A 12,387-nucleotide genomic window follows, 5' to 3' on the forward strand; every position below is an offset into this window, starting at 1 on the left:
AAGGAAATGCTGCCACCTCCAATATTTGTAGTATAAGAACGGGTATCCACAGCTTATAAGGAAGCACAGACTAAGAAGTCTGTGGTGTTGTGAAGTTGGTAATTGTAGTTTTTTATATCTACATATTTATAGGAATTCTCAGGAACGTTTGCAAAGAGAAGGCTTAAAATTAATGAATTATTGTAAATCCCGGGAACACCTTTAAACATTGCTTACAAATGTGATGAGTGTAAGCTTTAATGACAATACACAAGTCCCTGGAACTGTAATTTAAACTAACGCAGATCACTCAAGTCATTTGTCTTACCTTTGTGGCACACGGTCTCATTCTGAATTTAGCCTCATTAACATATTATGAATGAAAACCATTTTATTTTCCTTTTAGTTCTTAGAGCTAATAATTGTTGTTAACATTGTTCTGGGCAAGCAGCCCAGGTTCCTTAACCTGTTCGATTTCTAAGCATGAGAAGACAAGAAACACAGAACAGTGTGACCTTCAAAAGGAGGCCAGAGACAAACATTTCAATGGTAGAAGTTGCTTAAGGTTGTCCTAGCATTAAGGAATATAAGGAAGTCTAATCATACGACTGGAAAATATTAATTTATTTATGGATTTTGGTGGCTAGTCAGTTAGTTAAGTCATGAAAAGCTCATTCTTAGCAGGTCTCAGCTCTGCCTCAAAGTGAAAGTTGAATTTAATGTCTTTAGAACCGTGAAAAATTGGTAAATGTGATAATTGTGGAAAAGTTGCAGGTGTCCAGAGACCCCACTATATCAAGAAAGACTTAGTTGAAAGGGACAGAAAACTGGCTGAAGTTATTTTAAGCCAAAAAAGGGTATTGCTTGGTTTTGTCATCATCCTAGGTAACACTTCCCAAATTTACTAATCTGTTAGACATCACCTGGTTGGGTTTGTGATAACACAGACTGGGTTCCAAACTGTACCTAGGAATCGGGACTCTCAGGGGAGAGGCCAGGTGAACAGTCTATTAAACAAGTCCCAGGTGATTTGCCAGGGACTTTTGGCAAATGCTAGTTGAAAGGGGTCTCCTTAACATCGTCTTGGTTATGCCTCTGCTGTGGTTTTCATCAGACAAACCTGTTGCATGCGGCGACAGAGACTAGGTTGATGTCTGAGCCACACCGAGTACACGGAGCACTGTCAGAGAATTCACTGCCGCACTCACAAAGAACAAAGCAAAGACTCCGTGAAATCCCAATTTCTCCTTTCACGTGGGATGTGCGTATCTGAGTGGGATGTCCAAAAGCTTTAGTGTTAAACACACTGACCTCAGGCTGTCCCTTCCCAAAGCTTCGTCTGACCAGTCTACCTGGTGGTTCCTGAAGGAACCCCAGGGATTTGGTGGGTGGTTCCCCAAAAGTGCATGCCTGTAGGAAGTCTGTCCACTCTTTTCTGGGTACATTTTCCTTCAAAATTCAAAAATGTGACACTCATTGAAGCATTCTATTTAGCAATTTTACACGCATTCCCTAAGTCCTACAGGAGTTTTTTGGAGTAATCTCCTGAACCTGCTGCTTACACACAGTGACGGCTCTGGCTCTCTCCTCAGAGTCAAATAGAAAGTATTTTCAACAGCAGTTTCATTCTGATACTATGATACGAGTCTTCAGATATTTCGTACATTTCTAAGTAAAAGCTTAAAGTTTGTGTAATTGGTATTGTCATTCAGATACAAGATTTCAAAAGCTAGGTTTAATTTTCTTTACCTTCATTATTACTACCCAATGATTTTAAAAATCCATTGTGTACAATAGAGAAACTGTAAAATTTTCAAGAGTAGTCAGGAGGGAGTCCCTGCACTTGGAGTAAGATGACTCTTCTCTCTAGGCCACCATTCAAAGGAGGCTCCATGGCCTCTACACTCTGAGTTAAGCTGCCCTTCAAGCACCCTGTGCTGCCAGAACTCAAGTGGGCACCTAGAACTCTGCACTGCGGAGTCCAGCGCTCTGCCCTCGTCCATCGCAGCCTTCCCACTCTCATGCCTGGGAACCCCACGACCAGTGGCATGCCCCATCCCTGGGCTCTTCCCACAAGCCCAAAGCTCCAGGTGATCCCTCGTATTTCAGGCTCATCTCTGAGGAGCTCTTTGCAGTCTCTTTTTTGACACCATCCCCTGCTCCTCAACTTTTCCTGTGTCCTCTGGAGCTCATTCTCAACAGCCTCTTAGGGGCGGTTTCTTTACATCTCCCTTTAACAAACTCGGCTTTCTCCCGGGTCACTCACAGTGCTGCTGTTGTCTCTCCTACACTTCTCGTCTGCCAAGGTCTGGAGGGTGAGGTAGGTGTCCCTCTTGCTCCTCACTGATATTTCCAGACACCCCGACCCCCGCAAAAAAGAAACCACTCGGCTTTGAATCTACTTTGATCAGATCATGTCAGCCGCTCCCCCTCCCTTTGCCACTTTATGCTCCCCGAGCTCCGATTCCTCCTTGCAGATGGTAGCTCCTGGCTTGCTCACATTGTCCTGTGGTGCTTTCCTTCTAATTCTTGGCTAAAACACACCGGTGAAGTCCAGCTTTTTGCCTACTTGCCTGTTCCTTTGCAAATAAACACGGCTGGAGAAAAGCACGCAACCCTGTGTAATTGTTGTATTTCAATTCATGATCACAAGCAGGTATTTAATGCTGTCAATACATGTATGTCTAGCCATTGGCTCCACAGCTCTCTGATGTTTTTCATACCTTGTCTCCTTACACCACCACCACCACCACCTCCATCCGCATTCTCAACTACTGTCTATTTTGCTAAAAATCCAGGCAGAGCTTCACAAGCTCCCACCTGAACCGCGTTTGCTCTGCAGCCCGGTGTTGTGGCGGCACGCACGGTCTGTGCACTCGGCCAGAGCACACCCCACCTGCTTGGGCACAAGACATTCATTTTTGGAGGATGTTGTTTTGGAATCTCGTCTCTCCTTGTTTCCCTGCTTTAGTATTTTTCTTTTCCTATTCATTCCCAACAGCTTGCAAAACTGGTGTCATTTTTTTTTTATGTTAAAAAATAAAAGCCTTTTGGGCCCCATTGACCCTTAACTACTGTTCCATTTCTCTCTTTCCCTCAAAACTCCTGTGTTGTCTGGACTTCTTTCCTCCCCATCCTCTCTTGAATCCAGTGCCAGCTGTTCAATTCCTGGCCATCCTCCAGCCAGACCTGCTGCACGCCTGGCATGGTGTCCCCTTTCTCCTGGAAACATGCTCTGCCTGGCTTCCACGATGCCATGCTCTCTTGGCTCCCCACACCTGACTGTTCCTTCTCAGTCTCTTGCTGGTTCTTGTCTCTAAGGCCTAAATGTGCCTTCAGACTCTGCCAGGATCCCCTTTCTTTCTGCTCTTCCTCTGTTGGTGATTTCACCCATGACTCATTTGTATGAAGATGCTTCCCAGACCACATCTCCAGGCCCAGTTTCCTCCCTGAACTCCACACTCACATCATCAGCTGTCTCCTAGACGTCTCCCTTAGGCTGTCCAACACAATGCTGCTCAGACTTCTTGGTCTCGGAACTGCCTGACACTCTTCAATTACTGAGGACACAGAGATTTTGTTTATGTGAATTATATCTGTTGATAATTACCATATTAAAAATTAAAACATCTAAAAATATGCGTGCCCATATTCCATTGTCAGAATGATACTGTCAGCACATGACGTGTAGCCTCTGGAAAACACTGTATATGCCTGAGGGCGCGTTAGAGTGCAAAGGAAAAGTGACCTCTCAGTATCATACAGATAATTTTGATTTCGCAGAACTCCAAAGGAGTCTGAGATTTCCAGGGGCCTCCAGACCGCATTTGACAACCTCTGGTTGAACTGGTGTTTCAGTATGCTCAAAGTTAAACTGTGATTTCTTGAAGCCCTGTTCCAGCTCCGTAAATCAGGACTTCATCCTTCCAAATGTTCATTCAGGCCAGAAACCTGGGAGCCATCCTGGAGTCATCTCTTACATCACACCTCAGATTCCTCAGTGAAGTTTATCAGCTTCACTTTCAAAATACGAGTACCTGTCCACTAATCCTGTCAGCCTAGCCTTCCTAACCCATGTCTCTGCTCTTGCCTTTGCCCCGACTTTGGTCCATTTTCAGCAAAGTAGTCACAGTGATGAAGTCACACATCTGCTTACAGTCCCACTATGGATCCCCATCTCAGGAACACAGAGTCGTTGCCAGGTTCCCATGTTGTGTCATCCCAGCTGCTCACAGGAGACTCGGTTCTCCTCCTGCCTTAGGGCCTCTGCCTGGTTTCCTCTGCCTGCTGTGCTCGGAGCCCAAGTTCCCGTGTGTTCCTTCAGGTCTGGGCTGAAATGGCACCAGCACAGGGAAGCCCTCTGTGACCACCCCCTGTGAGCGTGCAGCCTAGACACCTACCCTTCGCCTCTCCTCCCCAGCTTCACTGGTATCATTAGCTAGTGTAGTGCCCAGCTTACCTTTTCTCTTACTCATCTCCCGCTAGATGCTGAGCCCATGAGGGCCAGGATTCTTGAGTGTTTTGTTCACTTTTGTCTTCCCAGTTTCGATGATCCCCAGTGTATAGCAGGTTCTCAGATATTTATTGAACGGATAGGTGAATAACTAGTGCCGCCCATAATTCAGAAAAACAGCCCCTAGTATTTCCTGGGCATGTTAAAGTTGAAGGGCTCTGCCCCAACAGTGGTCCTTGATCCTTGGGTGCACATGGCGGTCACCAGGGAGCTCTAGCAACCCCTAATGTCGGTGCGCACGCAGTTCACGGAACAATCTCAGCTGGAGACCTGGACGTGGATATGTTAGAAATCTCCCCTGGGAAGTAAGTTACACCAGGCAGAGAGGTGGGGCCGTCCAGACAGGCGAAAAAGCAACCCGGCTTTTGAGAAACCTGGATTCTAAATCTCAGCTTCCGGCTGTATCTGAACACCAGATGCTCTGCTGGCATTGGGTGGTTTTCTTCATGGGTGCCTGGAGGAGTAGGTCCAGTCCATCCTGGCCATGTCCCCACCCATGTGGCATAAATGCAATGCCAGGGTGTGATCTGGAGGCACGAAAGGAGCCCTTTGGTGTGGCCCTGTGGCCTCAGCTGTGGCAGGGCCTGAGGTACCTTAGCACAAGCGGGCACTTTGCCCTTGGTCTGGGGCCTGGGGGCTGCATCTGGCCTCATGATTTGCTCGCTCTCACCTTCCATCGGAGGCCAACCCTTCCCATTTGGTCCCAGGCCCTGTGAAGTGGAGAGCGGGAGTAGTACATGTACCTTCTTTCTGGACAGCGCAAGAATCTTTAAACACTTTAATGCTATTCTCCCTGACCCAACTTACATGCCATTGCTTCTGATTTAAATCAACTGTACTGAGGTCTAGTTTATTTACATAAAGTAAATGAATACAGTGTAATGAGTTTGGACAAATGTCTATACCTCTGGATCTACTGCCACCATCAAGTTTTAGAGAATGCCTATACCCTTCCTCCCACAAAGGTTCCATCTTGCCTCTTTGCAAGCAGTCCTCCCCACCGGGACCAGATGCAGCAGTGACCTGCCTCTGGAATCTCACCTGGAGAACCGGGTAGCATGCACTCTTGTGTCTGGCTTCTTTTGGTCTGCCTGGTGTTTTAAAGCAGAGTCTGTGTATCTGTGTAAGTGGGTTGTTTGCTGGGTGGTATTCGACCGCGTGATGAGTTCACCATTTGTTTATTCATCATCAATCAGTGGGTGTTTTGGATGTTTCCAATCTTTGGCTAGTATAGTAGACTACCATGAAAAACACTGTTGAGGATTTTGTGTGGGGATGTATGTTTTCATTTCTCTGGCGGATACATAGATGAGGAATTGCTGGATTTATATGGGAAGCATGTCTGCAACTTCATGAAAAGCTAACAAGCTGTCTTCTAAGTATTTATGCCCTTTTCCCTTTTTCTTTACAATGCGTGAGATTTCATTGCTCCACATCCTCACCAGTATTTGATGATGCCTTTTTAATTTTAGTCATCTTGTGGGTATGTAATCTTACCTTATTTTGGTTATTGTTTGCATTTCCCTGGTAAGTAATGTTGCTGAGCATCTTTTTGTTTACATGTTGGCCGTTCTTACATCTTCTTTTATGAAATGTCTGTTCAAATCTCTTGCACATTTTAAAAGTATTTTATTGAGTTGTAAAAGTTGTTTATGTATTCTGGATACAAATCTTTTGTTGTAGACATGCACTGTGAATATTTCCTTCCAGTTTCTGGCTTGCTGTTTTGCTTTCTTAAGTATCATTCGAAGAGAAGATGTTTGTACAACTGGATTTCAAAGTCCACTGATGGGGGAGAACCATCTGGTGAGGACTTAACACTTCCTACTCTTCGATGTGCTTCATGCATGGTTGAAAATGTAATTGTCAAAAAAGGCTGCCAAAGTTCTTGATTTGTATTCTGACTTGCAGTGTTTACTAAATAATATTTGGAATAGTATTTGGAAAAAAGTATCTTCCTTAGCTGTTTAATTCGCTGTAGGGTGAGATAGACTTACTTTAATGTAAGTTTGGCAGTTGACTTCATTTGTACCTGGTACTGGTATCTATAAATAATGCCTTTTTTCTTCATTCTTTTAAAATTTATTTGGCACATAGCAGACACTCACACATTTGTCAAATAAAAGAATTGTACAAATTTTTTTCTTATTGAAATTCAAACCACATTGAATAAACCTAAATGCTTCCTTGACAGTTCCTTCAACTCCCTCATCCCAATTCCCATCCAAGCATTGACAGTTCCTTCAACTCCCTCATCCCAGTTCCCATCCAAGCATTGACAGTTCCTTCAATTCCCTCATCCCAGTTCCCATCCAAGCATTGACAGTTCCTTCAACTCCCTCATCCCAGTTCCCATCCAAACATTGACAGTTCCTTCAAATCCCTCATCCCAGTTCCCATCCAAGCATTGACAGTTCCTTCAACTCCCTCATCCCAGTTCCCATCCAAGCATTGACAGTTCCTTCAACTCCCTCATCCCAGTTCCCATCCAAGCATTGACAGTTCCTTCAACTCCCTCATCCCAGTTCCCATCCAAGCATTGACAGTTCCTTCAACTCCCTCATCCCAGTTCCCATCCAAGCATTGACAGTTCCTTCAACTCCCTCATCCCAGTTCCCATCCAAGCATTGACAGTTCCTTCAACTCCCTCATCCCAATTCCCATCCAAGCATTGACAGTTCCTTCAACTCCCTCATCCCAGTTCCCATCCAAGCATTGACAGTTCCTTCAACTCCCTCATCCCACTTCCCATCCAAGCATTGACAGTTCCTTCAACTCCCTAATCCCAATTCCCATCCAAGCATTGACAGTTCCTTCAACTCCCTCATCCCAGTTCCCATCCAAGCATTGACAGTTCCTTCAACTCCCTCATCCCACTTCCCATCCAAGCATTGACAGTTCCTTCAACTCCCTCATCCCAATTCCCATCCAAGCATTGACAGTTCCTTCAACTCCCTCATCCCACTTCCCACCCAAGCATTGACAGTTCCTTCAACTCCCTCATCCCAAGTCCCATCCAAGCATTGACAGTTCCTTCAACTCCCTCATCCCAATTCCCATCCAAGCATTGACAATTCCTTCAACTCCCTCATCCCAGTTCCCATCCAAGCAGTAACCATTGTTTGGTTTGCATATATTCTAGCAACCTCTCCCCCCACCCCCCAACTTTTTTTTACTTTTGTATTTTTACTACTAATTTCAAACTGGAAAAAAAGACCAATGTCATGAACCTGGTTTCATCCTGCCTAGAAGTAAAGAAGGGGAAATTGCTGAGCCTCTGAAACCAAGAGGACCACTAAGGTGTCGGGGTGGAGGGGAAAGGCAAAGAACTCTGTGGAATATCCCTTATCCTTTGAAAAAATTGAGTAGGTTGAGTAAGGAGAAACTGTAGATGATTTTACATTTAAGGATGACACCGTATTTGTCTGACTGATTTGAAGGCATGTTGTTAGCTGATTTCTTATGTCACATAGCTTTTTTATACTTGTCCAAATTCCAGTTGCCCTGGGTTGTCTTCCCCAAAAAGTGGAAGATGATTGAAAGTAGTACTCAAGATAAAAGGGCCTTAAGTAACACAGAATCATGTGTTGAGGAACTTCTTTTCTTTCAATTATGTTACTGTTGATTATGTGCAGGAGAAAGTCTCTCTTGTTGTTGGGGTGTCTGGCACCTCCATTTGCTCATCATTTGATTTTAACAAAGCCAAACAAAGTAGGCCCTAGGTAGAACTAAGAAGCAAGTCCAATGAGTCTTCTTTTTTTTACTAGACTTTATTTTTTAGAGGAGCTTTAGGCTCACAGTTAAATTGAGTAGAAGGTAGAATTCCTATGTGTTCCCCTCACCCACACAGGCCCAGCCTCCCCCATATCAACATATCCCACCCCCCAGAGTGGTTCCCTTGTTACACTTGATGAACCTACAGTGACATCATGATTGCCCCAAGTCCACAGTTCACATGAGGGTTCACTCCTGTATCTACCGTCAAGTTTGAGAGATTGCCTGTGCCCTTCCCTTTGCGTATTTTGGATAACAGTCCTTTTATGGACAGTCTGTGGATTTGGACGGATGTATAATGTATGTGTCCACCATCATGGGACGACACAGAGTCCTTTCATGGCCCTAACACCTCCCTGTGCTGTGCCTGTTCATTTCTCCCTCCCCTCCAACCCGTTGTAACCACTCATGTTTTCACTGTCTCCATAGTTTTGCCTTTTCCAGATGTCATACATTCTGAATCACACGGTATGTAACTTTCTCAGGTTGGCTTCTCTCTCTCAGTAATATGCATTTAAGATTCCTCCGTGTCTTTGTGGCTCATTTCTTTTTAGCACTGACTAATATTCCATTATTTGAATGTACCAGTACATGTATCCATGCACTTGCTTGAAGGAGTCATCTTGATTGCTTCCAAGTTTTGGCAAATATGAATAAAACTGCCATAAACATCTCTGTGCGGGTTCTTGTATGGATACACCTTTTCAACTCCTTTGGGTAAATACCAAGCAGTGTGCTTCGTAAGGTAAGACTATGTTTAGTTTTGTAAGAAACTGCCTGTCTTTTAGAATGGCGTACCATTTTGCATTCCCATCACTAACAAATGAGAGTTCCTGTTAATTCACGTCTTTCCCAGCGTTTGCTATTGTCATTGTGGGTTTTGGCCATTCTGATAGGTGTGTAATGGTGTCATATTGTCATTTTACTTTGCAATGCCCTGAGGACATGTGGTATGGAACATATTTTCCTATGCACACTTGCCATCTGTGTGTCTTCTGTGCTAAGGTACCTGTTAAGGTTTTTGGCCCCTTTTTTAATCAGGCTGTTGTCTCATTGTTGAGTTGTAAGAGTTCTTTGCATATTTTAGATAACAGTCCTTTATCAGATAGGTCTTTTGCAAATATATTGAATCCTCTTTTTAAAAAACAGGTTAGGTGGCACTTAGTTATGGGAGCAATTGAAGGTAGAATGGAGGTGTTTGATGTTTGGGTAAAGTTACTGCCTTTGGAGAATTAAAATTTGTTAGCAGGGGCCACGAGGCCCTTCCTGATCTGGATCAACCTATATCTTCAGTGGTCACTTCCCATGTGGACCTTGGGTCCCAACCCTATGAATCCACTTGCAGCTCCTAAAGTGTGTGTTGTGCCCCGGAGTCGTCTAGCTGCCTCCCGGGTCTGGTAAGCCTGGACCTGTGAACCACTGAGTTCTCCTCATTGCTGCCTCTGCAGGCTAAATACTTCAACAAAAATTCCCTGACCCTCTTCCTGACCACCATGCTGCTTAGGGGCCTGGGCCGCCGTGGTCTGAGCCTGTGCCCACGGCAGTTTCTGATGTGAGTGCTCCAGAGCCACTTGCTGGCCAAATGGATTTGTCGTCACTTTAACCCCATTCTCTCCATTTGCAAACTGCCACATTGACAAGCAAAATGATTTTCTGAGTAATAACTTTGTTAGGCTTTTCAGGAATTCTCAGTAAATCATTGATAAAATCAGGTGTCTTCATAATTTCTGTAGTGCTGAGGCTAATGAGCTTCAATGTCTTCCTCTTCTCTCCCCTTTACCTCATTTCCCCCCACCCCAAGGTTTATACTGTTTAATTGTTGTTATATTGGCCAAAACCTGGGTTGAATTTTTGCCTTAAACTCTACATAGTTTCAGTCAAATAATACTACAGAAAGCCCAAGTTAAGTATGCTTTTATTTTTAAAACCAATTTTAGTAGTACAGTGTTTTGGAAAGCTGAAATAGTAAGAAAGTTTACACATGTTTGGTTAGGTTAAATATTTGTTTAAGTGCATTTTAGGAACTTTGTTTCTCAACTTAGGTGTAAACAAAATTCTCCTTTCCATGATTACTCAACAAGATAGATTGCAAGCTTTATCAGTTCCAGACTGTGCAGCTTTTATATATCAAGTCTTTACCGTTGTCCAGAGTGAAAAATTCTTAATTGAATTAACCCATAGTAAGTCTTCCAGTTTTTATTGAATTGGAGATGCATAAATAGATTTGCATTTTTCTTGTACAAATTGCGTTCCACCAGGAGGATATGCCCAGGGTGAGGCTATTTCATGAGGGACAAGTTAATTTGACCAGGGCCTGCAGGCAGTAGCTGGCTTAGAATACAAATTGAGGAGACGTGTTCCCTATGAGAATCGGAGGCAGCTTTACTCCTGAGACAAGGAATCAGGGTCAGTGACTAGGAGTTCCAACAGCAAACCAGAGCCCCCACTTGGATTTCCTGGGGATCGAATAGCTGTATCTTTGTGGTAGAACTTGAAGTGCTATGATCTGCCTACAGGAAAGCCAAGGTAAAATGTCTCTGACTTCCCTCTAATATAATGATGGGGCTTCTTGCAGTCAGGGATCTTCTCCAGATTTGCTAGTGATAGCGCGGCCCAAAGAGTATGTGAGCCTCAGCAGCTCCCCACCTCCCACTCCAGATTGGGGCGCTTTTTAAATGCACGTACCCAAGACAAAAATTATAGAGGCATCAAGTGCTAAATAGACCAGCCCCTGGCTGGTTCTTAGAAACCTATCGTGTGGTTTTCAAATTTTACGTAATTTTTGTTAAAGCATTTAGCCTGTGGTGAGGCATATTTGCTTTAACATGTGCTTATTACAGAAGTTATGTTTCACTGTAGAAATTTCTGGAAATACAAATGCAAAATAAAACACAAATCTCTGTCATTCTGCAGAAACAGCATTCTTTTGACCCCTTTTGTTTTATTCTATAGATGTATATTTTTGTGTTTACAGAAACTTGATCATACTATTTTATAACTTGCTGTTTCATATAAAATTATCATGAACATCTTTTGTGTCATGACATGTCTCTTCTTTTAATGAGTGCATAGTCTTCCAAACTACAAATCTTCCATACTCTGTTTAGTGTTCCTCCACTGCTAGAAATTTTGGTTGTTCCTGATTTTTATTTTCCCTTTTATAAATGTCTCTTTGGTGAACGTTATTAGACTTACAGTATAATCCAGTTGATACATAAGCGAATGAAGACAGTAACCCTCAAACAGATGTGTGTGTGGCATGTACATTAACTGCTATCCTTTCAGCACTTTGTTTTGTTGAAATGGCCATTTCCATTATGTTCAGGAAAACTCATTTTGGGAAGAATAAGCAATAAATTTGTAATTAATGAAATCTGGTTCAGTTTTTCAGTTTGTCCAGGTTTTAAGAGAAGTTAGGCACTGGCCTAGCTTTAACTGATGTCTGTTGCCAGTGAGTTGAGATCATCAGGATTGCTCTGAATACATGCCAGATAAGGACGCTGAGTACCAGCACATAGGCACGGGTGAATGCTGCTTCAAATGGTACAAAATGATGTTCACCCATAAAGCAACAAGAACATGTTAATGACATACGTTGAATGGCACCTCTTGAAGTCCAAAGTCAGGAGCTTTATTGATTACCATATGAAGTGTTTCCTGGGATGCCCAGCATGTTTCCAGAAGAGCTGCTGGGGTGCATCGTGGTTTTATACAAGCTTGGCCATGAAAGGACAGATACTCAAACTATTGTATGTTTTCATCTTTTAAAACAAACCTTGGTCATAGAAAACCAACAGAGTCTTGTCCACCTTTGTCCTCTAATGCCTCCCAACATGTTATCTTCCTGAGGGGAGACCCTAAATAGATGACCTTTTTAAAAAATAAAAAGATGACTTTTTTAAAAAATAAAAAATCTAACAGTTGCTCATCTTGAAGTTATTTACTCTTTGTTTTATTATCAGTTTCATTTTCCAGTTTTTGTATTTGAAATATTTTGGAGAAGGGAAAGATATTTTAGAGAAAATTCCCCGAAACAATAAACACAACATCTCTTTTTCGGTAAAATTGCTGTGCATTTTCTCTCCCTCTTCCACGCTCACCATAATACACTATTATGATTT

The 12,387-nt window shown here is 43.2% G+C and overlaps 1 protein-coding gene across 1 annotated transcript in view; it reads left to right on the top strand.

Annotated features, from left to right (window-relative positions):
- The window catches only part of PIWIL1 (piwi like RNA-mediated gene silencing 1), an 88,374-nt gene that overhangs the window by 34,801 nt on the left and 41,186 nt on the right, over positions 1-12,387 (top strand). The window lies entirely within an intron of this gene.

This window comes from Homo sapiens, chromosome 12, assembly GCF_000001405.40.
Source record: "Homo sapiens chromosome 12, GRCh38.p14 Primary Assembly".
Lineage (NCBI taxonomy): Eukaryota > Metazoa > Chordata > Mammalia > Primates > Hominidae > Homo > Homo sapiens.